This window comes from Homo sapiens, chromosome 15, assembly GCF_000001405.40.
Source record: "Homo sapiens chromosome 15, GRCh38.p14 Primary Assembly".
Classification (NCBI taxonomy): Eukaryota; Metazoa; Chordata; class Mammalia; order Primates; family Hominidae; genus Homo; species Homo sapiens.
Window position 1 is genome coordinate 66,167,051 of NC_000015.10, and position 27,684 is coordinate 66,194,734.

At 48.6% G+C, this 27,684-nt stretch overlaps 1 protein-coding gene across 14 annotated transcripts in view, besides 3 other annotated features; it reads right to left on the reverse strand.

The window, feature by feature from the left end:
• Positions 1–27,684, reverse strand: part of MEGF11 (multiple EGF like domains 11) — a 358,452-nt gene that overhangs the window by 271,752 nt on the left and 59,016 nt on the right. The gene's annotated exons all lie outside the window — the stretch shown is intronic.
• Positions 638–1,432: an enhancer, noted in NCBI's record as "H3K4me1 hESC enhancer chr15:66460026-66460820 (GRCh37/hg19 assembly coordinates)". NCBI's record gives its function as "activates a minimal SCP1, AML or CMV promoter by ChIP-STARR-seq in primed H9 embryonic stem cells {active_cell/tissue: H9 hESC(primed)}" and the evidence as "EXISTENCE:reporter gene assay evidence [ECO:0000049][PMID:30033119]".
• Positions 2,197–2,697: an enhancer, noted in NCBI's record as "H3K4me1 hESC enhancer chr15:66461585-66462085 (GRCh37/hg19 assembly coordinates)". NCBI's record gives its function as "activates a minimal SCP1, AML or CMV promoter by ChIP-STARR-seq in primed H9 embryonic stem cells {active_cell/tissue: H9 hESC(primed)}" and the evidence as "EXISTENCE:reporter gene assay evidence [ECO:0000049][PMID:30033119]".
• Positions 13,445–14,101: an enhancer, noted in NCBI's record as "OCT4-NANOG-H3K4me1 hESC enhancer chr15:66472833-66473489 (GRCh37/hg19 assembly coordinates)". NCBI's record gives its function as "activates a minimal SCP1, AML or CMV promoter by ChIP-STARR-seq in primed H9 embryonic stem cells {active_cell/tissue: H9 hESC(primed)}" and the evidence as "EXISTENCE:reporter gene assay evidence [ECO:0000049][PMID:30033119]".

Genomic DNA, 27,684 nt, shown 5'->3' on the forward strand with positions numbered 1-27,684 from the left:
TCCTCTCTCCTCACCTGAACGCTGACTTACAGCCCTGCCTTTCATAGACACATGGCTCCAGTGGGCAGAGCCACCATGGAGCTGGGCATCTTGATAAAGGCAAACAGCCCCAGGGTGATGGACCATGGCTCCCACCCTGGGGGTAAAGAAAGAAAGTGCCCAAGCCCAGGGCCAGCCGGGGCAGAAGAGGTTGTGCCCCAAGACAACCCAGAGGGAGACTCCATCCTACTCTCATGACGTTTCAGAAACCCTTGGTCCACATGCCCTTCTGCTGCTTCATTTTTATACAGCTAAAGAAGGCCCATGGATGGCTGGGCACGGTGGCTCACACCTGTAATCCCAGCACTTTGGGAGGCCGAGGCGGGCGGATCACCTGAGGTTGGGAGTTTGAGACCAGCCTGACCAACATGGAGAAACTCCGTCTCTACTAAAAATACAAAAACAATTAGCCAGGCATGGTGGCGCCGGCCTGTAATCCCAGCTACTGGGGAGGCTGAGGCAGGAGAATCGCTTGAACCCGGGAGGCAGAGATTGCAGTGAGCCGAGATTGCGCCATTGCACTCCAGCCTGGGCAATGAGAGCGAAATTCCGTCTCAAACAAACAAACAAAACAAACAAACAAACAAACAAACAAAAAAGAAGGCCCATGGATAGAGAGAAGAAATGTGAAATCTGTCTGAGGTTACATAGCTAGGAACTGGAGCTGAAATCTCCATCTACAGCCCTAACTTCCAGGCAGGTCAAACTGCACTGATCTGCTCAAAACATGGGTAAGTTTTAACCACGCTGGTGCCTCTCAGACTTTGTGAGGCCGGGGGGAAGGGGCAGCAGCTCTGAAGAGGCCATCACTGGCCTGGCCTCAGGGGATGTAGCCTTTCCCCCCTGAACCCCTGCTGGGCAGGCAGCATTCTGCAGCAGCCTCCAAGATGGGCCTCCTGCATTCTCCTAGGCCAGGCTCCTCCCAGCAGCCAGAGGGAGCTTCAGAAAACCCACATCTGATCCTATCAACCCTTGCTTATACGCGATTCCTCCTATCAAACCAAAATGCTCACGGTGCATTCCAGTCCCGCCAGCTCCTACCTGATGGAGCAACCTCACCTCCAGCTCGTCTTCTCCTTGCTCACCACATTCCAGCCACCGTGGCCTTCTCAGCCTTCAACTCCCCATGTGGCCTTTGCACATGCACTTCCCTCTGCCTGGAATGTTTTTGCCTTAACTCCCTTGTCTTGGTAACTGCTGCCTCTCCTTCAGACTGCATCAAATGGTAATTCCTCTGATGCCCTCCAGCTCCTGCCCAACTATCAGGCCTGCCCACTGGACACTGTGTGACCCTCTCCTCTGCAGAACACCCACAGTTGTGTGTGGTTGTGAGATCAGTGATGATCTGCTCCTGCACCATCCAGCATGATGGCCACTGGCCATATATGGTTACTGAGCACTTGATGTAAGTTACTGAGCACTTACAGCTCAGTGACTTACAGATGGGGCAGAGGGAGAATACCTGGGGAGGGAAGCCACCAGTCCAAACTGAGATGTGCTGTTTCAAATATCTCATTAATTTCATATATAGGCCACATGTTGAAGGAATAATCTGATACCATTTTGGATATAACAGGTTAAAGAAGATACATTATTAAAATAAGGCTGGGTTCGGTGGCTTATGCCTGCAATCCCAGCACTTTGGGAGGCCCAGGTGGGTGGATCACCTGAGGTCAGGAGTTCAACATGGTGACCTGAGATCAGCCTGGCCTACATAGTGAAATCTCATCTCTACTAAAAATACAAAATTTAGCCGGGCGTGGTGGCGCATGCCTGTAATCCCAGCTACTTGGGAGGCTGAGGCAGGAGAATTGCTTGAACCCGGGAGGTGGAGGTTGCAGTGAGCCAGGATCGTGCCATTGCACTCCAGCCTGGGTGACAGAGTGAGACTCCAACTCAAAAAATAAAATAAAATAAAAGTCACCTGTTTCTTTTTACTTTTTTAAAGTGGCTGCTGGAAGATTTAAAATCCCACATGTGCTCGCATGTGGGGCTAGCATTTTATTTCTGTTAGACTGCACTATCTGGTCGATGCTGCCTCCATCACCCCAGGCAGCTTCTGTTCAGCACCATGTGGTTTCACGGAGGTGCACAGACCGCAGCGTCCTGCCTGACGCAGCCACTCAATACACATTCGCTGAAGGATTAAACGCCAGGCTGCCCAGTCTGATTTCAGAAGGGAAAATGATGCAATTGAGCCACCTGATCTCCCTGGCTTCAGCCCCCAGCCTCCGACCCTCCACCGTCTGCCCAACAAAAGCCCAGGCCCAGATGTCTAGACTCGAGAGACTTGGCCGGGACCAGCAGAGCCAAATGTGCAGGGAAGGGATGGTCCTGACACTCAGTGAGGGAGAACAGAGTCAGTTTCTCTCTCTCTCTCTCTGAAATATCATTTCTCATGGTTTGGAATGAAACCCATTATTCCCAATTAACCTGCGGTGAACCCGCATACTTGCTGGCTTGCCCATAATTATTCATCCATAGTAATAGCTAAAGTAAATTCTGGCTGTCTCAGCGAGCACTGACATCTCCTTTGGGAAAACTTTCAAAGATGCCACGTCCTTGGTTCCTTATCTAAAGCTTCCCTGCCCCATTTTGTTTCATTTTCTTTTTTGCAGCTAATCCTTGTGAAGAAGGCATCGTAGACCAGGATAGCTCCTTCTTGACCCCGGGTGGTTGGGTGAGACGGCCAGCGCTGCTGGGTTCCTTCCTACCCGCAGGCGGAGCAGGAGCACCGCGGCAGCCGGACCATCCCGGCAGGTCACATACACACAGTTTGTACAACTGGCCAGTCCTTCTCCAAGCTCCCTTCACCCTGCCATCCCAGGAACTGGGCCCCATGAGTCCACAGAAACTGCATAAAGTGTCCTTCTGCACAATTTATTTTGGGGTGTCAGATGTAATTTACTAAGAGACCGTCTGCCGAAAAAAAAAAAAATTCCAGAATGAAACCTAACTTGTCATTTTAAATTAAGTGTAGCTCCTTTTGTTCATCTTTCTACCAAAAAGACTGCACTAAAGACAGAATAACCTCTTCTCTATAATCACAATAATAATAGCAACAGGAGGAAGGCCTGAGTCAGAACCTGGGTGCGTGTTAGGAGAGATGGGGCAGATGGAGAGCACCTGTGGAGGCCAGGGTGGTGAGCTGTGCCTCCTTCCTGACACCGCTCAGCCTGCCAGGGGCGTTTCCAGAGAGGAGAGCTCTTCTGGATATTTTGCGTTTTGCAGAAGAGATTGGCTAAGCAGGTGGTGGGTAGGGTGGGGGAACTGTGTGCAAGACACTCATAGCATGCTCTATTTGGGGCCATTTCTTTCTCCCATGAAGACAGCAGAGTCTCTTACAGGGAAGTCTACAGGGTGGACAATCTGAGCTGAATCCACTCAGTAGCTGCGATGGGTTCAGGCCCAGCTTCCTGGCCTATCAGGGCATGCCATGTGACCTCTCTGGGCTTCAGCGTCCTGTCTGTAAAATGGAGATCAAATCCTTCTTGCCAAGTGAGTTGAGTAAGATAATTTTTTGAAAGGAACCAGTAGTTTGTGATGTTCTATACAGGTGTAAGAGGTTCTTATTATTGTCGTCATCCCTCATAGAATGGGAGGGGGGCCTTTGAAGTGGACACTGTGATGCCCCTTCCCCCATTTGCTGTGAGGTGGGCTGCTGAAGACCCCCACTCCCCATCCCCACCTCCCTCCCCACAAGCACGGCCCTCAGCTGACTGCAGCCCCTGTCCAGGAGGTGGTCAATTCCCCTTCCTGACAGCTCACAGGCAGTAACTGCCTAATGCCAGAGGCTGGCTCACTCCCCACCAGGGCACCACTCGGAGGTCCAGCTCAGGCTCCAAAGCCCTGCCCCGGGGGACCACCAAAGGTGGACTTGATGGATGTGACGCCATGTCCTCGCTCAGCTCCTTCCTCTTCCCACCCTGCCTCCCTCCCTCCCTTTCAGGTTTCTTTCTGAAAAGCACCCCAGGAAGTCACAGGTCCTGGAGCCTTGTCTCAAGCTCTGCTTGAAGAAGCTGCTGAAGAGGACTCCTGCATGGTGAAGGCCGCTGTTGCTGCTGTGGCTCTTGTTGGAGTCACGGTGACCACAGCACCAATGCAGGATGCCATGTCCTGCCAGGGGAAGGAGAACACCAATGTTTCTGCCAGACCTGCAGGCCGGGGCAGGTATCTGCTCAACCACGGGGGCGGTCAAAAAGACAGAGAATCGGGGAAGCTGGGACTGGGAGGAGAGCTAGGGTCCCACCAGTGGTGCCAGGGCAAGGCCCTTGCCTCTAAGATTCTGGTCCTGCTCCTGTGAATGCTGGAGCAGACGGAGGATGATGAAAACGCCCCTTGCTCCAAGTACTCTAAGATTCCAAGGACAGAGAGGACTGCTGGTCCCTCACCCTACATGGGGCTGGGGACATGGGTGGGGGTCCCTGAAGAAGGGAATGGAGAGGTGGGAGGAGGAGGGACACCTGCATTCTGGGTCACCCTGTGCACGTCTCCAGAGGCTCTCTCTAGCTTGTCTCTTTTTCTGACCTTGTCTCTTTTTCTAAAACCACATGGGGACTCCTCCCACCTGTCTGCTCCCCCAAAGCCGATCTGCAAGAACCCCCACGCAACGCTCCCTCCTGTCTGAGAGGGTCCCCCCAGCCCTGCAGACTCACTACCATGCGCATTTTCCTCCAGTTCCCCCCACCCCCAGCGCTCACCCTCTCCCCGCTTCACCCTTTGTCAACAGCTCTTTTCACAAGGTCATCATTACCCACTAATTGTCCAAAATTTCATTCCCTCATCTTTCTTGGTTAAGGATTGATTTAAGGAATGAGTTCAATATCCCCGCCGTCTCCAAGTGCTTATTAATTCCCGGCGCCTCCAGCTCCCTGCGCAGAGCCTGGCTCACCTCACACCGCTTCACCCCACACTGATTGGTAAAGCCCCGGCTTTTAGGCCTGCAGGATGGGAGGCCTAATGTGCACTAATCTATCATTACTTCACACGGCTGGCAGAGTGACGGATGGTGGCGGTGGATGGCTCAGTGAGGGAGATGGTCCTCCGCCTCCTCCAGGACTAGGCTGGAGTCGGAAGTTTGCTCGGCAGGAGAATGACCACCACCTTTAACAGGGCAGGCAGGGGAGGCACTGTCTTGCAAGAGTGGAGACCCAAGACATCAGCAGGAATCAAAAAATGTCTCCTCTCACCCTGCCTCCCTCCAGGAGCTGGAAGGCTACCTAGTCCATTGCCTCGTGGGCTGGGTATTGTCCACTCACCCCTCACATTCACGGCCCTGCCTGCTCCGTGGCCTGGTGGGCAGAGCTGTGTGGACAGCATCAACCGGCAGCCTTGCCCTCTGCTTCTACTTGCATTCAGCCAATGAGGAGCAGCAGCAGATCGGAGGGAGGGGCGTGAGGCTGGGTGTTTACTGGACTGGGCTTTCCCCGCAGGGCTACCACAGGCTGCCTGTGTCATGAAGATCACAGCTCCCATCAGGTGATCCCCCCTCTCTCCTAATGCTCCCTTCCCTCACCCCTTCAGGTCTGAGGCCCCAGCAGTCCCACTGTCACCCACTCCAGGGGCTGCACCACCCTGTGTTTCCCCCATACTCTGCCACACCTTTGTAAAAGTCCCTTTATTCAGCTCCCATCAAATTACCCAGCTTTACTGTGCCATCTGTCTCCTACTGGAACCCTACGGGAACCCTGACCAATACCTCTCATTTTACCAATGAGGAAACAGGCTCAGACAGGACTGCAGCTTGCCCTAGGTCACACGCAGTCACAGCAGGGCTGGCTCCAAAACTCCAGTCTTTTGACTCTGTCTAATGAGACTTCACCAGCCTGACTTTTCCGCGTCCCTTTTCTGTCCCTCCTGACCGCAGTATGCATCTCTTTGTATATGGGCTACCCTGGGAGGGGAGTGTTCAAGGTGCTATCAGGGCTCAAAGAACCTGTGCCTGCCCAGAGACAGCAGTGTTGATGCACCTCAAACGCCCTCCTCCACAGCACGTTCCAGATGTCGGGGACATCCGTCTTTCAGTGGCTCTGTAGCCTGGAGCACCCTTTCTTATGGTCTTTGTATTTGTCCCCTCAGGCAACAGTGCACCTATTGAAAATGCCAAACCCTAGACCATCTCTACCACAAGCAAACCCCAACCAAACCAATAGATCTGGGGTCCAAGTTTCCACCCAAAGCCTCTCTTTTTTACATAAGTCCTTCATGACAGAAGGCAATTTTTTTTTAATTTTTATTTATTTTGAGATGGAGTCTCGCTCTTGTGGCCCAGGCTGGAGTACAGTGGTGCGACCTTGGCTCGCTGCAACTTCCTCCTCCCGGTTTCAAGCGATTCTCCTGCCTCAGCCTCCTGAATAGCTGGGATTACAGGTGCCCGCCACCATGCCCTACTAATTTTCTGTATTTTTAGTAGAGATGGGGTTTCACCATGTTGGCCAGGCTGGTCTCAAACTCCTGACCTCAGGTGATCCACTTGCCTTAATCTCCCAAAGTGTGGCATTACAGGTGTGAACCACCACACCCAGCCAACAGAAGGTGATTATTTAGTCAATAAACTTCTACTGGAGTTTCTCCTATAGCTGTGAACTGCCTCCCTCCACCATTACCCCTCCCCTCCCCAGGAAGGAGACCAGTGAGGTCGACAGGGACAACTCCGAGCCCTGCGAGCTGTTCACGAAGGGTCCAACTCACCCTCTACCATCACAGGAGTCATTCACTGCAGGGAAAAGGCCCTGACCACCTGCTTCCTGCAGAGACCACCCTTGGACAGTTTGCCACAAATCAACAGCCCATCCTGGCAGCTCAAGTCAATATTCTCTTGGATGGTCAAGTGCCTCTGCTCCAGAACAGTCCTCAGAGGGGCCGACCCTGCCTTCCTCTATAGCCTGAGACATGCTCCCATATGTCCTCTGTCTCCTGAGGCAGAATCCTCTCCCTGTGTTTCAAGGCACCTGGTGATGGGTTGTCTGCTCACCACTTTGTGGTCCACACTTGACACTTCATTCTGGCCTGGTCTCAATTATTTCACAGGGATTGAGAACCCACGAAAACTGCCAAGTCCATATATACCTGGCCCAAGCCTAAAAGTCATCAGCAAATCCTATTTCCATGGTCATCTTGAGATGGAATAGGCTATCACCCAGAAAGCCTCCCCAAAGGGAAGGATAAGGCCAGAGATCAGAAAGGGGCTGCAGAGAGATGGAGGTGGGGCTGTTCTATTATAAACCTCTGGTAACAGCCCTATCTCCATCCCTCCCAAGAGGGGAATTAAGCATGTGCCCGAGACTTAATCAAGAGAAACTCACCCCGGTGAATTGAGGCATGGTGTAGGGGAAACCTCTGGGCTGGGGATCAGGAGACCTGGATCCTCTCTCAACCCTGCCGCTTAGCCCTTCTTGCCTCCTGGCCTCTCCTGTAACATGTGGGGTTGGTTGGATCAGATGAGCTTTAGTGCTGTAAGTGATATAACTCTGCATTTTTCCAGGGAGAAGGAGAAGCAGTGGCCTTTAATCCTGGTACTGCATTCTAGATGATCCCAACCCCATAATGCCCTTCCTGAAATAGAGCCACAGGGAAGAAGCCCAGCCCAGCCCCACCTGTGGGGCTATCTCAGCTGTTGGAAGAAGCTGCTCTGAGGAACTGACATAGATCATTCCAAAAGGAGTCAAAACCCCCAGTCCCTTTAATTTGTAGATACCTTTGGGTGGTATGGTCATTTCAACAATATTAATTCTTCCAACCCATGAGCATGAGATGTCTTTCTTTTTTGTATGTGTCCTCTTCAATTTCTTTCATCAGTGTTTTATAGTCTTCATTGTAGAGAACTTTCATTTCCTTATTAAATTTGCTCCTAAGTATTTTTTTGTAGCAATTGTAAATGAGATTGCTTTCTTGATTTCTTTTTCAGCTAGTTTGTAATTGGTGTATAGAAATGCTACTGAGTTTTGTGTGTTGATTTTGTATCCTGCCAATTTACTGAATTTTTTTATCAGGTCTAAGAGATTTTTGGTGAAGTCTTTAGGTTCTTCTATATATAAGATCACATTGTCTACAAAGAGTGACAATTTTACTTCCTGTTTTCCAATTTGGATGCCTTTTATTTCTTTCTCTTGCCTATCTCTAGCTAGGATTTCTAGTACTATGTTAAATAAGAATGGTGAAAGCAATCTACAGATCCAATGCAATCTCTATCAAAATACCAATGACAGTCTTCACAGAAATAGAAAAAACAACCCGAAAATGCGTATGGAGCCACAAAAGACCCTGAAGAGCCAAAACAATCCTGAGCAAAAAGACAAAGCTGGGGGCACCACACTACCTGACTTCAAAATGGACTGCAAAGCTATAGTAACCAAAAAAGCATGATATTGGTATAAAAACAGACATATAAGCCAATAAAACAGGTTAGAGAACCCAGAAATAAATCCATGTATTTGCAGCCAACTGATTTTCAACAAAGGGGCCAAGAACATACAATGGGGAAAGGACATTGTCTTCAATAAATGGTACTAGGGAAACTAGATATCCATTTGCAGAAGAATGAAACTAGAGCCCTATCTCTCATCATACAGAAAAATCAACTCAAAATCTATTAAAGACTTACATGTAAGACCCATTACTATAAAACTACTAGAAGAAAACATAGGGGAAATACTGCAGCATATTGATCTAGGTGAAGATTTTATGGGGAAGACTTCAAAAGCACAGACAACAAAAACAAAAATAGACGAATGGGACTATATCAAACTAAAAAGTTCTACACAACAATGGAATCAACAGAGTGAAGACACAATCTATAAAATTGAAGAAAACATTTGCAAAATATTCATGGGACAAGGGACTAATATCCAGAATATATAAGGCACTCAACAACAACAACAACAAAAACACATAATCCCATTAAAAACTGGGCAAACGATCTGAACAGACATTTCTCTAAAGAAGATACACAAATGACCAATAAACATATATAAAAATGTTCAACATCACTAATCACCAGGGATTTGCAAATCAAAACCACAATGAGATGTCATCTCACCCCAGTTAAAATGGTTATTATAAAAAAATAACAAATGCTGATGAGGATGCAGAGAAAAAGGAACTCTTACAAGCTGTGGGTGGGAATGTAAATGATGACAGCCATTACGGAAAACAGTATGGAGGTTTCTCAAAAAACTAAAAATAGCACTACCATAGGATCCACCAGTCCCACTGCTGGGTATTTATCCAAAGGAAAGGAAATCAGTATGTTGAAGAAATACCTGCACTCCCATGTCTATTGCAGCACTGTTCACAATAGCCAAGATATGGAGGGTAGGGAGGCTGGGGTGGAGGGGGGATAAAGGAGATGTCTGCCAGGCATACCCTCTTTCATACAGTAGCCTTATGTAGCTATTTAGATCTAAATTAATCAAAATAAATAAAATTTAAAACTCAGAGCCTCAGTCACACCAGTGACTCAGCCACATCTCAAGAACTCAATGGGCACACACGGCTAGTGGCTACTGCAATGGCCAGTGTTGACAGAAAACATTTCCATCACTGCAGAGGACCCTTTGGACAGTTCTGGTCTAGAAGCTAAACTTTGTTTTTGGAAAGCGCTTCATCTTGCATTGCTGATTTTTTCTTGCTGCTGAGCCAGCCCGTTTACTCCAGTCCTCTGCTCTGGGGAGGTTCCCAGATGGTTTTAGGATGAAGCTGGGCCAGATGACCACAGGATAGGGGTTCTGTCTGCCTGAGAGATGGCCTTGGGTGTTTCAGCCACCTACCAGATCCTGACAGGAACAGTCAAGCTAACAATCATCTGGCACCTGAGAGAAGTTCCCCACAGATCTTAAGCTTCAAGCAATGACAAAGTTCACAGGCCATGCCTAGGCCAGCCCACTCCCTCCCTTACCATTTGATCTAACCCCTGGTAACTCCCACCTTTCAAGGATACTACACCTTGGGTGGGCGTAGAGGAGAAAGAGTCAGAGAACATTTTAGGGACTCCAGGATTTGGGAGATTTCTGCAGACATGACCAAAGGGAGCTCAGAAAACCCCAGAGGTCCTTTTGGGGTCCTTATCTTCCCCCAAATTATTCATATATATGGCTGGGAAAATCCCCACAAGGAGTTAAAAGCCAAGAAAATAACTTTGCTCTGATAGCGTAGATGCATGGCAGGGATGGGGTGGGGTAGTGGGAACCAGACAGCTAAATGGGTTATCGAGAAATTACAAGAGGCTTTAAAAAGTAGAAAACTTACCATAAGTCAAGCCTATAATGTATAGACAATAATTATTTTCCACTGAATTTTTTGTGTTTAATTTGTGGTGACTATCTCCTTTTACATCATGTATTCAGCAATCACTCTTCTCCTTGCTTAATATGCACAGTAATCTTTCTCCTCCGATGTCACATATTCAATAATTCCTCTCCTCTGGTTCCAGGGGGTGGGATGAGGGGAACGGCACATTTTAAATTAGTAACGGCTGTTTTTGTTTTTTTTTAACTTTACCTCCACCAAAGCACTGTAAGTATCGTGAGCTCCAAAAAGCAACTCAGAGCACAGCACCCTGTCTGCCCCCTTCCCCAATTCCATTGCCTTTTTCTTCTTTTTTTTTTTTTTTCTTTGAGACAGGGTCTCACTTTGTCACCCAGACTGAAGTGCAGTGGCGGAATCACAGCTCACTGCAGCCTCAACCTCCTGGGTTCAAACGATCTTCCTTCCTCAGCCCCTAGTGTAGCTGGGACTACAGATGCATGACACCAGGCCCAGATAATTTTTGTACTTTTAGTAGAGACGGGGTTTCGCCATGTTGCCCAGGCTGGTCTGGAACACCTGAGCTTAAGCGATCTGCCTGCCTTGGCCTCCCAAAGTGCTGGGATTACAGGTGTGAGCCACCATGCCCTGCCCTTCTTTTTCACTGATTGATTCAGGGTCTCACTCTATTGCCCAGGCTAGAGTGCAGTGGCACTATCACATCTCACTGCAGCCTCTACAGCCCCACCGCCACTTTGCTCAAGCAATCCTACCTCAGTCTCCCAAATAGCTGGGACTACAGGCTAACCATGCGCTGCTAATTTTTAATTTTTTGTAGACGAGGGAATCTCACGATGTTTCCCTGGCTGGTCTTGAACTCCTGGGCTCAAGCGATCTGCCTTCCTCGGCTTCCCAAAGTGCTATGATTACAAGCGTGAGCCACTGCACCTGGCTCTTCACTACCCTTTTGAGGGCTTTTCTCTGGTCTGCCTCAGGAACCAAACAGGCCAGAGAAGGGAGCGCTGGGCAGTTGTCCAGCTCCATCCCAGTTAACACAGGACATGAGGCCTCTAAATGAAAACTTGCTCTTCCTATTAATACCTGTTTGCAGTGGTGTACCCTGGTCTGTTTAGCTCACGGCCAGCTCTGTTTGTTGCTGTCCATGAGGTTTTAGCACCTGAATTCCCCAGATATTGTTTGGTTCTTCCCCTGAATGTGGCATGCACAGCAGTCAGGAGAGCAAATCCAGGACCTAGGTAAGACAAGCAGGTGCCTAGGGCAGCATTTAAGGAAGCCCGCACTCTCAGATGCTGACCCTGCATTTGCAGACCCTGAGAGTGAGTGCCTCCTTAAATGTTTCAGCCCCAGGTATTCAGCTTGCCTCACCCGGGTCCTGGGTCCCAGCCCTTCAGAGGGACCAACCCCTTGCCTGTCTGAAAGTCAGAAGCAAAAGAGAGAGAAGGAGAGTGGGGGTGGGGGATAGACACAATACCAAGAAGAAGTGATTCGGAAAAAAGGTCATTAACATGCTTCAACGGACTCCAAACTCTGAGAGTTGTTTTATTTTTTTTAAGACAGAGAGGAACTTAGCAGGAAATCAATCAACACACATGCTGAAAACTTATTCCATGACAAAAAAGAAACAAAAACCCCATAAATTCCTGTAGCCTCCGGGTAGCCAGTGTCTACTGCTGCTAATTAATTTTCCAGTACTTTCACTCTCCGGATATCTCAAAACAGGGTCAATCTGTCAGCCCGGGAAGCATCACAGCCCCAGCTCTAGGAGGTTGGTGACTCTGTTTTGTTTTGGTTTGTTTTTGAGATGAAGTCTCTCTCTGTCATCCAGGCTGGAGTGCAGTGATATGATCTCAGCTCACCGCAACCTCTGCCTCCCAGGTTCTAGAGAGTCTCCCTTCTCAGCCTCCTGAGCAGCTGGGACTACTGGTACACGCCCCCACACCCAGCTAATTTTTGTATTTTTAGTAGAGATGGGGTTTCACCATGTTGGCCAGGCTGGCCTTGAACTCCTGACTTCAGGTGATCCACCTGCCTCAGCCTCCCAAAGTGCTGGGATTATAGGCATGAGCCATTCCGCCCAGCTGGAGGTTGGTGATTCTGGAACTTCTACCACACGTGGGAGGAGGGGAGCAGAAGAGCCCAAAGCAACTCGCAGACCTTCAGGAACAGGCTCTCCGCCTGTGAAGCTCTGAATCTCCATTCACCCTGCAGTGCACCACGTCCCTGAGCCTGCTCAGGCCAAGAGGAACAGCATGCGAGAATGTAGAGAGTGCAACCAGGAAAAACCTACCTCCCTGTCTCAGTTTCCCCAAATGCAAAATAAGGAGATTGTACTCAACCGGGTTTCAGGTTCCCAAACCCATGTTACCCCACCCAGAATTAAAGCCACGTGGATACTTATCTAATCTATGAACTCCTTGAAGACAAGGATTGTCTTATCTCTGCAAGCCTGCCCCTGCCACCACCCCCCCACCCCCACCAACACACAGTGCCTAACACCCTCCGACACACAAACGGTGCCTAACAGAGGACTGCTGGATTGCTCTGTCTCCTACTCTCCTGGTCCTGGCCTGTCCTCACCATCAGAACCAGGCAAGGGTTTACCAAGCCCTCGATAGCTGGGAGACCTATGATCCAGAAACCTTGCTCCCAAGAGTCCCTTCTTCCTGCCAACTCTATAAGCTCATTGGTATCTCCCAAAGGAACAAAAAAGGAGAGAGTTCTGACTCTGTAAAGTTCTCCACAGTTGAAAAATTCAAATTACAACTCCAAATAGCCTGTGACTGACAGTCATCTTCTGCACTCTGAGCCCCAGAGGAACAAGCAAGCCACTGGTAGCCAGGGCCGTGCCCTGACCCCACTCTTCAGAGAGAATGTGAAGGAGCTAGAACATTCCCCAGGACTCCAGAGCAGATGGGCAAGCAGTGAGGTTCCAGGCAGCTGCACCCCTAGGACCTGAGGTTTGGTCACCTTCCTGGGTGCCTTTCTTGAGAAGGTGACCGGATGAACCAAAGACCCTCCACGTCCCTTCTCAGGGAACCTCAATGCCACACACAACCCCTCCCCATACCCCATCCTGAGCCAGCCCCATAGAGCCAAATGGTGATGCTGTTTTCCTTCACAGAGACCCAGGAGCCCTCGCCTCACAGGCGGAAGGACACAGTCTCATCCCCCTCCTGACAGTGGCTTGTAGTTTCCTTTTTTATTCATTTATTTTTCTGTTTCCTTAAACAGTATGTGCCTAGAATGAATACCAGGCTCTCTCTGGCAGAAAAAAAGGAGCATGAAGGAGAAATGTGAGAGCGGTAATCCATTGTAACACTTTAGGGGAAACTGCAAGCAATTTCCATTCTATTGATCCTCCCCGGGCATCAAAGCCACACTGAGTTTATTTGGAAAATTAAATTCTGGAGCATGTAGCATGAGGGGGCTCTAGTTAAGTTGTCTAGCTCTACGGCCACAATTTAATTACATTCTCACTCTGCCTCTCCATTTAAATACAGCAAAGGAACTGGGCTGCCTGGTCCAGGCCCCTAATCGGCCCTGGCTGTGACCCTGTGCCCACAACAGAAGAGCCTTTTGCATCTCAATTGCCCTCAGCTGACCACTCACCAGCTCCTCCGGCTGCGCTCATTTACATCTTATGCGATTTTTAACAGAATATATTCATTAAAATGTAAATGTTTGCTAAAGTAACCTAATTTTAAGCATTTGCTCCTTTTCCAAAGGGAAGATTTTTATCTTAACAAAAATCTGTTATTATTAGAAACAAAGTAACATATTACCTAGGCAAAAATTAGATACAATGTGTTATCCATTTGGGGAAGAAGCTAAGAATCAATGTCTGATTGGTGTTGCCTGTTGTTATCAGACTTTGAAGATTCACAGAATTTGTGTTGTTGTTGAGACAGGGTCTCACTCTGTCGCCCAGGATCTGGAGTGCAGTGGCACAATCACGGCTCACACGGCTCACTGCAGCCTCAACCTCCCAGGCTCAGGTTTTTGTTTTTGTTTTTTTTCAGAATTTGGAGGTTCACAGAACAGTAAGATTTATGCACACTTGAATGCACACACGCATGCACACACATTCACACTTTAGTGAGCCTGGCAGAAATTTGCCAGCTTTTTATTTAGCCACATAAGGACTTTGCGGTCATCTTCTATTCTCTTCTACTATAACTTCTACTATCATCCCAATTTCCTGAATACCAGGGATGTAGGATGCCAATCTTAGAAAGAATAGTCCTTAATAGTGAATATGTTTAGCTTCATGAAGAACTCACTTTCTCTGTTCTCATTTTCCTAATCTCATCTGTGGAAAGTTAGCTGCAGTCTAGCACAGGTCTACAGACCACCCTTGGGAACCACAGGCATAGACTAATTTTTCTTAATTAAATTTTTATTTAGTGCCAATGCTGGGGGAGGGGCGCTGTGTCTCTGCCGCTTATCAGCCCTGGTAATTGAGAGCAAAGTTCTTTTCACAGTAGTCCAGAGGAACTGACCTCCCATCCTGTGAGTTCCATGAATACTAATCTGTTTGCTCCTAAATGAGGAAGGGCTCCACTGAAGTTCTCCTAGAGGAATGTCCCCTTGGGCAACCAGCCAGACCTTCTGCCCAAGCCCCACCAAACCAGCACAGAGCCTGGCATTTGGTAGAGTCTCATTAACAGTTGCTGAATCCCTCTGAAAAGTCATTGGGCGGCCCCCTCCCTCACAGTGGAACTCCTCCCATATTTCCCAGCCTCCTCCTCTGCAAGGCACCCCCTCTAAGGACAACAGCAGGTGGAATAGGGAAGGAGATAGACATGCCTTTTGATGATCTCGGGACCAACGGCAAATAGAGTCTGCCAGTCCTCATACCCCTCCACGGGCCTGCTCCCCATCCTCTCACAAGCCCTGAGATTCCTCTGAAGGAAGTAACTTTTCCTGCCACTTGTAGGTGCCACAGGTAAGCAGGAATGGCAGATAGAACCACGGTGTGTGGGTGTTTGATCCTCGGGGCCCACACCAGAGGGAACATCAGCAGTATTTGACAAGCTGACCAGCTGTCCCAAGAATAGAACTGTCAAGCCAACAGGGAAATCATTACCTGATCTATAAATGATCACACAGGAGTAAGAACTGTCACTTCCTTCTGAGGAGTTTGCAGAATCGGGATTTTAAACAGACCTGCAAACTGGTGCAACACTGAGCTCCCTGGAGCAGCTGGTGTATTATTCGCAGGGAGAAAAAAAAATCAGAAGTTAAAGCACTTCAGGAGCTCAAGGGGACAAGAGAAGGTCTCAGGGACTCTGACTATCAAAGGATTTCAGACCATCCCTGGTGTCAGCTACAAACTTAACTCAAAGGAAAACATAACTATTCAGATCTTCTGCCTGACAGTTTGCAGGCCTGCAAGTCTCCATGGTCTTTCCACTTGCAAAATAAGCGATGGGAGTTAGGGCTGCAGGCAACATGGGTCATTTAGTCTAAGACACTTCTTTTACTAAGACACAGACTCAGGTTCCACCCACGGGGATGAAGCCGTTTATGGTGGAGAGAAGCTGGAAACATCTTTAGGTGTCCCTCACCCATGACGAGTAGCAGGCAGTGGAAACACACTATGGAGAACTCACCATCAGTAAAGAGCCGCATATCGGATGTATGCAGAGCAATATGGGTGGTCACAATAACGCGATGTTGAGTGAGAAAAGCTGAAATGGAAGATTTGTAGCACAATAAAATGTATGTTAATTTAAAACACACACACAGAATGACACTACATATTTTACAATGATACACTACTTGCATATTTTAGAACATATTCCAAACACTTCAGAGTGGGTGTCTGCGGGAGTGAGGAGAGGGGAAGGAGAAGATACACACGGTGGCTGGGCGTGGGGGCTCACGCCTGTAATCCCAGCACTTTGGGAGGCTGAGATGGGAGGATCGCCCATGGTCAGGAGTTCGAGACCAACCTGGCCAACATGGTGAAACACTGTCTCCAGTAAAAATACAAAAATTAGCCAAGAATGGTGGCTCACGGCTGTAGTCCCAGCTATTCGGGAGGCTGAGGCAAAAGAATCGCTTGAATCCAGGAGGTGGAGGTTGCAGTGAGCCGAGATTGCGCCACTGCACTCCAGCCTGGGCAACAGAGCAAGATTCCATCCTGCCACCAACACCCCGTGCCACCCACACCCCCCTGCCAAAAAGAAAAAAAAAAAAAAGAAAACGGATGCCACGAAGCAAAAGAAAGGCCAAACAAAAGCTGTTCATGACAATGAGTTATTAACTAAGTGTAACTGACTCAACTCCCTCCACCTGAAGTCCACAGACAAGGAAAGAATGTGAGGTCCAGAGAGCTTAGGACAGGGCTTCTCAGACACCTGGGGATCGGGGATCCTGTGAAAATGCAGATTCTGAGTCAGGAGGGCTGGGCAGTGGGGATGGGGCTGAGGGTGTGCCCTTCCAACAAGCTCCCAGCTGATGCAGATGCCGCAGTCCCATGGACCTCACCTTGCGCTGCAAGGTCTCAGGAGACTTAATCAAGATATAAATTGAGCAGCAAAGTCCAAATAAGATTCTATATGCAGTGTGGATGAATCTCAAAATAATTATGCTGCATGAAAGAAGACAGGCAAAAAAAGAGTACATATTCATAAACTATGCTTCCATTTATATAAACTTCTAGAAAATGCATACTAATATATAAAAATGAAAGGCAGATCAGTGGGTGCCTGGACATCAGGCTGGGGGACAGATGAATTAACAAAGAAAACTCTTGGGGGTGATGGATATATTCACTATCTTTATTATGGCGATGGTTTCCTGGGTGTATACATATGTCAAAACTCATCAAATTGTAATGCTTCAAATATGTGCAGTTTAATATGCATCAATTATACCTCCACAAAACTGAAAACAAAAAAAGAATCTAGGTGGCCTTCCTCCCCACGCATCCCACACTGAAGATGCCTGTTTCCACTTCAACCTGAGCTGAGCAGCTTTTCAGCTAGCCTGTGGTCTCCAGGGCTGGAACCCATCCCCCTCCCTCTTCCACAGCTCCCACCATCTCACCTGGGCCGCCCTAAGAATCCGTGCCCCGATTTCATCTTCACCCTCCATTCCCCATCCATTCTCCACAAAGCAGTCGGAGTGATCTCTTTAAATTACAGATCTGACCACATCACTGCTACCTCACACCTCCTCACTCTCCCCACAACCCCAAACCACCCCCGCCATCGCTACCTGCCCACCCCCTACCTTAAAATCCTTCAAGATGGAAGGGTATAAAGACCAAAATGTGCACCCTGCCCTGGGTGCCTCCCACCTACTCCCCCTCAACCCCTCTTTCCACCCCTCTCCTCTCACTCTCCACCCCTGCCTCGCTGACTTTCTAGGAGTTCTCCCAAAGCACCGTGTTTCCGTCTGCTCAGGATCTCTCTCTGTAACTCCCACCCCCAACCCCCTTCTCTTGTCTGGTGAACTCCTACACATCCTCCATCCCAGCTCAGCTCTCCTTCCCTCAGGACTCTCCCCGCCTGCTTCCCAGTTCACCCAAACCAAGGCAGGCTCCTTTGCTTTACGTGTTCCTAGAGCCATATTCCTTTCCTTCCAAGCACTCACTCCATCTGCATGCATCTGTCCCATGCAGCCCCCTACACAAGTGTTTCATTCCTGCTTGTCTCTCACACTGCATAGTACTCCCCAGGAAGGCCACCGGGTCTGTTCTGCAGCCAACACAGTGCCTGGCACCCAGGATGTACCCCATACATACTCGTTTCTTGAAAGAATGCTTAGCAAATCCTCCAAAGGGGCCATGGTCATCCCTTAGCAATGACATCTCTAGAATGTGGGGACGGCAGCTCATTTACAACCCCTGCTCCCTGCACCCTCCTCCCACCCTGCACTGCCCCGCCAGCCCCTGCTGCCTCAAGTTCTGCAGAGAAGACCCACAACCCGCCCCTGTTCCAGCAGGAACTCCTGCCTCCCTCACGTCTACCCTAATCCTTACCATTCCTCTCAAAGCCACTTTGCATAAAGTAAATAGCACATTTGCTTTTGTGGGGTTTTTTTTCTTTTTTTTCTTTCCACAATTTCAACACTGCTGTGTTTGGATATAATCATTTCCTTTTTGGGCTTGGATCCCAAACTCTGGCAGTGCCTTAAGGGTAGGAAGATAAGTGTCAGAGGACAATCTGGATTTAGACAAAAATCCCCTCCAGTAGGGCACACGCACTGGCCTGAGCATGTGAGTCCACCAAACCTCTGGACTTGCTCCCCAGACCCTGTCAAAGACTCAGGAGATGGAGGAGGTCACCCCAAAGTGTGGGGAGGTGGTAGGGGAGGTGTCAGGCAGCAGCGACATCAGGATGGCAAAGGTCAGGGGGCAGTGGGTCAGATGCCCACCCAGCAGCCAGGCACCAGGTAGACCAGAACACCAGAAGCAGAGCCAGGGAGCAGGCTTGGTCTTTGTCAGAACTTCAGAGCCCTGGGCAGTCCTAGGAATTAAAGAGGCAGGGCCAGGCAGGGGCTTAAAAAGTCAAGCACACAGCCAGGCACACAGTTCAGAGGGTCTGGAGCTCCAAGCTGCTAGTTGCCTTCACTCCTGCCCTTCTCTGTGCCATAGCATTTGCTCATCATTTCCCTGCCTGAATCCTACTGAGGCATCGGGACCACTTCAGCAGCTACTGGGGAGAGGTGGGGGCAGCCCCAGGACCTTCCTTCATAGGGTTCAGCTTCGCCTAGACAGATGAGGACATGGAAAGGAATGGATGCCCATGAGCCCCAGACCCAGGTTGACCACTCCCCATAATTTTCAGGCTTCTCTATCACTTTAGATGTCACTGGAAAAGAGGAGGAATTTAACAGCATAGACCCTCCGGGAAGCAGAGAGGGTGACTCATGGTGAGCTTCCCCTGGGGTCTGGAGTGTGGCCCAGGAGGCTAGAGTTTTTGGAAGAAGAGCAGTTTTTGGAGCTGGGCAGCCAGCAGTGGTCTGTCTGCCCCGGGACTGGCCAGCAGCCCCTGGGCCCTCTCTGGGGTGCCAGGACCTCAAGCCTTAGAGGAATCCCTTCTCTGCCCCCAAGCCATTGGAATTTGCCCTGTGGGGAAGGAGCTGGCATCATTCTCTGAGGGCTTAGAGCTCACCCAAGACAGTTTCCAGAAAGGAGACTGTAGGACAGGAAACAGGCCAGCTACATATATTAGGAGATCATCCTCAAGCAAAGGCACCTGACAGATGTCTAGCTATGGGAGCACTCCCTGTCTCCATCTCTCGAGCCCCGGGCTGTGTCCATCACCGAGTGGTCCTGATCCAGCTAAGTCAATCACCCCTGCTGAGCCTCCACCCACTCACCCCATGGACAGGGAATCAAATGCAGAGGCAAATACCATTTGTGTTAACGACAAAATCTAACTGAGAGATGGTCTAGACAGGTTTTCTCTCTGTCCTGTTTGGCCATGAAAACAGACATGATGATCCTCATTTACAAAAGGGGAAACTAGGATTCAGAAAAGTCAAGAAACTTGCCCAGGGTCACAGAGCTACTGATGGCTGAGCCAGGCCTTAAACTAGAGGCAGCACTGGCTTTGAAGTGAATCCTATCTACAATTTTGTCTTAGCTCTGCTGCCTACCAGCTGTGTGTGGCCTCAGGTGCATTATTTAACCTCTCTGAACCCCAGCTTCCTCTCTTAACAAATGTGTTAATTATGATCTATCTCTCAAAATGCAAGGAAGGATGAACTAAGATGAAATATATGAGAGTGATGGTACATGGAAAGCAGTTAATGTTTGTTCCTTCTTTCCAATTCCAAATCTTAAAACATATTGTTTTGGGATAATTCCAATGTGGAGGTTACAAAGGACTTTCCTGGGGAAAGGGAAGCATTTCTCAAGAGATTGGAATCTAGGAACACGCCTGGCCAAGCACTTCTCTGTCTTCACTGATGCCAGCTCCTTTGTTCCCCCATCCCTCTCTCTGTGAAAGGACAGAAAGAGCAGGCCTTCCCAGATACCTGTCATGTTCTTCCACACACAGGGGAGCCCAGCTCCCTGTCCACTGGGGCACCCACCTGCTCTCTGTGGCTCAGTGGCTGAGCCCAGGCCTGCCTCTGAGGGTGGAAGTCCTGTCGACAACCCTGAGACTGGCCACAGCTGGAGTGTCGCAACCAGGAACCACCAGGAGAGAGGCTGCCCCTCACACCCCCACCTCTCATTCCAGCAGGAAGGCTCTGGGTGGAGTTGGTGGCATTACGGCAGTCTTGTGTACTCACACGCAAAGCACGGTCTCTCCTACCTGGGACTCATTTCCCCTCATCCACAACCCTCGGAGGGGAGGAGCAATGGAACAGAGAGAAAAATGCCAAAATTGGCCAGGGTCGTGGGGCTTGATCTCAACAGCCCAGAGCTCAAGCTTCAGTCCATTTCCATGTACGATTCCAGCATCCTTAACGAAGAGTCCCACGTGCTTCCTGAGGATCCGCCAGCCGGCATCATACCTATGGCTTCCCTGTATCAATGTGAACTCCATGATTTTGATAACTGAACGGTGGTTATGGAAGAGAATGCCCTTGCTTTTAGGAAATACACATTGAAATGTTGAGGGATAAAGGGGTATCTCGTCTGCAACTATCAAGCAGTTCAAGTATACACGCATGCACACACTTCCAACCTTAGCACTACTGACGTTTTGGGCTGGATAATTCTGTGCTGGGGGGAGCCGGAGGACTGTCCTGTGCACTGTAGGACATCGAGCAGCATCCCTGGCCTCTATGCACTAATGTAGTAACACCCCCCCATGCCCCATCCTTACCCCAGGCATTTGAAACAACACAATTGTCCAGAGATTGTCAAATGTCTCCTGGGGGACAAAAATTGCTTCTTGTTGAGAACCACTGGGGATCTATATATATATGAGAGAGAGAAGGGTAAAGAATATAAATTCTTGGTACTGTTTTTATCTTTCCTGTAACTTTCCTGTAAGTCTGAAATGATTTCCAAATAAAAATTGTTCAAAAAAAATAAAATTTTATGAACACTTATAACATGAAAAGAAAGAAAGGAAGAAAAAAAAAAACCTTGCCAGGTTACAGCCCTCTCTATGTCTGCCCCAAGGCCCTGACTCCCTTTGCTCACAGATCAGGGATCCCACAGTGGAAGGCATTTAACCACCGGTCAGACCCTGCTAGACCTTCCCGCACACACGCTCATGGAAGCCCCATACTGGCTTGGTTCTGGTTTCCCCTCTCTGCAGATGGGGACCCCAGGGCCCAGAGGGAGGGTCCACCTTGCCTGAGGCCCTGCAGCTGGGAGCACCAGTAGATACCAGTACCTGAACCCAGTATGCAGACTCCTGGCCTTCTCCTCCCCTCCACCTACTGGCCCTTGTCTACCCAGTGAGCCTAGACAGCCATCTGGTGTTTTCCCTAGCCTCCATCAAGCACCCCACAGAGCACCAGGTACCAAGCACTGAGTGGACACCCTTGCAGAAAGAAAATCGAAAGTTAACCACATGTGCAATTTTTTTTCTTTATCCTGTTTTCCTAAAGGGGGTTGCAGGGCTGGGCAAAGTTGCCTTTCAGATGCTTCCCAGTCAGCAGATTTTGCCTCCTACCTTCGCCTTACAATCTGTGATGATTCTGAGTGGAGCTGGCTAGTTGCCATTTGAAGCAAATTGGTTATCCAGGAAAAAGCAAAAGAAAAAACTTTAAACAAACAAATAATACAAGGAAAGCCATGGGGGAGGAGGGATGGGGAGAGAAGGAAAGTAAATTGCACAAATGCAAATTAGAATTATTTAAAAATTAAAAGTTACTTTAAATTATTTAACCTAATTACCGCCCCGTTCTCCCAGGGAGACAGTCACTTGTGTTCTGCGGAGCACGGAGGATTAAGCAGAATCCTCTGGCACTAGGGAGGGGAGGCCAAGGAATCCAAGCTTCAAAACCCCTCAGCATGCTGGGGTGGGGTGGAGGCTGAGGGGAGGGGGACAGATGCCAGCGGGAAGGGGACATGTAATAAACATAACGAATGTGGGTATCACACTTCATGCTTTACAGAGCACCTGCTCATTTTCTTTAATCCTCATGACTGCCGGAGGGGCCTGCGTTGTTATCCCCATTGCGCACATGGGGAAGCTGAGGTTGAGGCCCAAGGTCACACAGGTGATAAGCAGTAAACCCAGGCCTGGAGCCCTGCAACCCTGGGGCCTGCAGGAGCCCTCTCAGCTCTGCTGGGCTAATCCCCAGGAAGGACAATGAGAGGGGGCGCAGGAGAGGGCACCACTGGAGTCTCATCCTGCCTCTGCTGCTTCCCTGCTGAGTGATCTTGGGAAAGAAACCTCACCTCTCTGAGCCTCAGTTTCCTCATGGAAAAGATGGAGATGCTACTTCCCACAGGGCTGTTGAGAGGCTTGCGGGGGACAAGATATCTAAAGCCCCTGGCACTTAGTAGTTGCTCAAATAATGGGGCCTTAGAGTTCCAATGAGCAACAGGGGAAAGATGAGGGGCATTAAATCCCACTCGAAAGCAATCGTATTCTTCTCAGGAGGCTGAAATGACAGGATCACTTGAGCCCAGGAGTCAAGGCTGTAGTGAGCTATGATTGTACCACTGCACTCCAGCCTGGGTGATGGAGCTAGACCTTGTCTCCAAAAAATAAATTGTATAAAGCCCAGTGACCTGTCAAGCCAGTAGTTCTCAAATGGGCTGCATACTGGAATCATCAGGACGCTTTCAGAACTCCTGAAGCTCATATGGGCCCCCAGAGCAATCAAATCCGAATCTCGGCATGTCTAAGCTCTCTGGGTGATTCCAGTTGTGCAGCCACAGTTAAGGACTTCTGCGCTAATCTGTCTCCATTAGGATACAACACAATAGCATGGATTATTCTGCAGTTGGAAGGATTTAGGGTAGACACTAAATGGGGCTTTTCTTTTCTGTAAATTGCTTTGTAGAGGTGGGGGTCTTGCTATGTTGCCCGGGCTGGTCTCAAACTCCTGGCCTCAAGCGATCCTCCCACCTCAGCCTCCTGAGTCACTAGGACCGCAGGTGTGAGCTTTTCTAGAAGCCAGGTCCAAGGAAAGATGTAGAGTGTCTATGGGGATTGGTAAGAGCAGAACTGAGCCCTTTGTGACCAAGGAAGGAAACAGGAGGAGGGGGCAGGGGCCTTCCAGAGGTCCTCCTCAGACACACTTGAGGCTAAACCAAGCAAGGTCCCTGGTAGGTAGAAAGGGAAAGGAGTGGAGGAAGAGGGTTTGTAGGTGGCCAAGAGATAGCACCCCTCAAAATGCCTGACCTGTCTGAGATCCTTGCCCACCTGAGACCTCCAGAGGTGACCTGACAGCCTTCACCCCACTGAATCTCGGGACACACATGCCCTCCCTGGCGCCTCCATTCACCCCCCACAGCACACTAAGATTCACAATACACTCTATGCTGTGTCAGGCCCTGGGCACTACCCAGGGCTTCAATTTCCTTTTTATTAGTCCAGGAAGGGCCTAATTTGCATGTCATTTGCATAAATTTGCTTGTTTCAGTTCAAAAAAGACCCCAACTCCAAGCAGGTGAGATAAAATAAATTAGCTTATTTATCGTCCCTCCTGCTGCAATTGTATTCCAACCTAACATCAGGCTTCACGGAGTGTTCACAGGGGAGACTATTACAACACCGCAGCCTGGAGAGAAACTGCTGGAGGTGAGGACACAGCCCGGCTGGACTTCCAGGGATGGAAGAAAAGCAAGTTTCTCCCCCGATATCAGGCCAGACTTAAGATGGAAGGCTGCCTCTGAAGAAGGAACACAGTAGATTCACTATTTTAACTATATCCCTCCCCCCGCCAAAAGAAATAAACAGCAAAAATCCTACTTTGCTATCCCATCCTGCAATGGGGACCACGGTGAAGTCTGAGCTCGGGCTGGAGGGAGGGCCGCTCTCCGGGCTGGCCATTTAATTGATTATCGACACATTCTCAAGGCCAAAGCACAAAGGATTCGGCTTTTAAGGTCCCTCCTGACTAAGCTTCTATACAGGGGTTTCAATGGATGCTCTGCATCACATAGTTGGGTGGAAAAATCCATTATCTTAACAGCTGGCACCAGGATGCCTCTGGGGGAAGAAAATCTTTGATATATTGTCTGGGGGACCTGGACCCTGAGGGTCGGGGTTGCGGGGGTGTTAAGTCTGGCAACCGCAGACGGAGCAGCACTGAGGCAGTGCCAATGCAGGGCACTCATCTGCTTTCCCCCGAGGGGAGAGGAAGGCAAGATGTGGTGGGGCACAGGAGCGATGAGGGGTGACCAGTTGAGAGTACCTGGTATCACAGCGGCCTCAGAGCAAGCCATCAACCCGGTTCAGATGCCCCCTTGAGGAGGGCATGGGAATGACACTGTCTTATCTTGATTTCAAAGGCCTGGGGGACCCCAGTGGATGCCTGGGTTATAATCTTAATAAAAAGACCTACTAGGCGGGGCCCGGTGGCTCACGCCTGTAATCCCAGCACTTTGGGAGGCCGAGGTGGGTGGATCACAAGGTCAAGAGATCGAGACCATCCTGGCCAACATGGTGAAACCCCGTATCTACTAAAAATACAAAAAAAAATTAGCTGGGCATGGTGGCACGCGCCTGTAATCCCAGCTACTCAGGAGGCTGAGACAGGAGAATTGCTTGAACCCAGGAGGCGGAGTCTGCAGTGAGCCGAGATCACGCCACTGCACTCCAACCTGAGCGACACAGCAAGACTCCGTCTCAAAAATAAATAAATAAATGAAAAATAAAAAGACCTACTAAATAAATGGTAGTTCAACAAATATCGAGGGCTTACTCTGAACAAGGCATTATGCTGAAATCGTCATAATGGCCAGGCACAGTGGCTCACACCTGTAATCTCAGCACTTTGAGAGGCCGAGGCGGGGAGATCACTTGAGGCCAGGAATTGGAGACCAGTCTGGCCAACATGGTGAAACCCTGTCTCTACCAAAAATACAAAAAAATTAGCCAGGTGTGATGTTGTGCACCTATAATCCCAGCTATTTGGGAGGCTGAGGCACGAGACTCGTTTGAACTGAGGAGATGGAGGTTGCAGTGAGCCAAGATCATGCCACTGCACTCCAGCCTGGGTGACAGAGCAAGACTCCATCTCAAAAATAAAATAAAATAAAATAAAATAAAATAAAATAAAATAAAATAAAATAAAATAAAATAAAATCATCATAATGAGCCTAGGATATAGGTTTTATAATTACCCCAATTTACCAATGAGAAAAACTGAGGTTCAGAAAGGCTACATAATTTGCCCAAGGTCACAGAACTAGAAGGTAACAGAGCCAGGATTTGCCCCTTAACCACCACTATATACAATACTAGGCAGGCTTCTCAGCCTTCCCATAAAGGCAGGAAGAGCAACATTATTGGAGATGAGGAGCCAGCATTACTGTGAATCTGATTCACCTAAAATCATCAGCTAATAGGTAGGATCTTCTGATTCCTGGCGTGGCGCCCTTTGCACTATATCATTTTGCCTCCGTCTGTGATGTCACCAACATCAAATGATTCTATAATTTGGTACTAGCTATTCATTGGCAACATGGCAGTGGCAGTGGTGTGATGGAGAGGAATAGGTCAGCACCAAGGCAGCACCAAGGACATTCCCAAACATCCCAATCTTCCCTAAATTGGGAAATATTCACTGGAATGAACCAAACAATCCCTGGATCGATATAAATCCTTAAATCCATTTCTGTTTTCAGATTAGTACCATGTGTTAACAAACTGTCAGTATACAAAGGCAGAACCCATGCCGAATATACCATTTTAACATTTTGTGAAGACTCCTAGGTACTTCTAGTTATGGAAAAAAATCCTGTTCTTTGACTCCAAACCCATTATGAGTCTACATGTTGTGCTCACATCCTCCCTCTAGATGTCTGGGCTCAGACTGAAGCTGACTCCTTTGTGTTCATATAGCTGCTCAGTGACTGCCTGGACCCTTTCAAAAGCTTTCGACTTCATTCATTGATTCATGCAACAGAAATCTGTTCAGCACCTACTAAGTGCCAGACGCTGTGTTAAGCACAAGAGGTACAAGGTTAAGTAAAGTAGGTGCAGACCCTAAACTCATGGAGCTTACAGTCCTCTAGGAGAGCAATATAATAGAATAATTAGATAAGTATATAAGTACTAACTATAATACATTTACAGTTAACTCATGAACTTCAAGGGTCCACTTACCCACAGATTTTTTTCCCACCAAACATAGATCAAAAATACAGTATTTGTGGTATGTGAAACCAAGGACATGGAGGGCTGACTTTGTATACGTGGGTTCTGCAGGTTCAATTACAGAACTTGAGTTTGTGTGGAATTTGGTATACGAGGGAGTCTGGAACAGTATATGTCCCACATATACCAAGGGAAGGCTGTATATTAGTTTGCTCAGGCTGCCGAGCAAACTAATATACAGCCATATATTATATTATATTATTCTGTTATAAATATATTGCTTTCCTGGAGGACTGTAAGCTCCATGAGTTTAGGGTCTGCACCTACTTTGCTTAATGTAATAAATACCACAGAACAAGTAGCTCAAACAGAAATTTATTTCCTCAGTGTGAAGAGTCTTTAAAGAACTAAAAGTAGATCTACCATTTGATCCAGCAATCCCATTACTACGTATCTATCCAGAGGAAAAGAAGTCATTATACAAAAAAAGATACTTGCACATGCATGTTTACAGCAGTACAATTCGCAATTGCAAAAATATGGAACCAGCTCAAATGCCCATCAATCAATGAGTGGATAAAGAAAATGTGGTATACATACCATGGACTACTCAGCCACAAAAATGAATGAAATAATGGCATTTGCAGCAACCTGGATGGAACTGGAGACCTTTATTCTAAGGGAAGCAACTCAGGAATGGAAAACCCAACATCATATGTTCTTACTCATAAATGGGAGCTAAGCTGTGAGGACACAAAGGCATAAGAATGATAGAATGAGCCGGGCATGGTGGCTCCTGCCTGTAATCCCAGCACTTTGGGAGGCTGAGGTGGGTGGATCACCTGAGGTCAGGAGTTCAAGACCAGCCTGGCCAACATGGTAAAACCCCATCTCTACTAAAAATATGAAATTATCCGGGTGTGGTGGCACACACCTCTAGTCCCAGATAGTCAAGAGGCTGAGACAGGAGAATCGCTTGAACCCAGGAGGCAGAGGCTGCCATGAGCCAAGATGGCACCACTGCACTCCAGCCTGGGTGAGACAGAGCAAGACTCCGTCTCAAAAAACAAACAAACAAACAAAAAGAATGATACAATGGACTTTGGGGACTCAGGGAAGAAGGGGGAGGGGGAGGGGGAGGGATAAAAGACAACATATTGGGTACAGTGTACACTGCTTGGGTGAC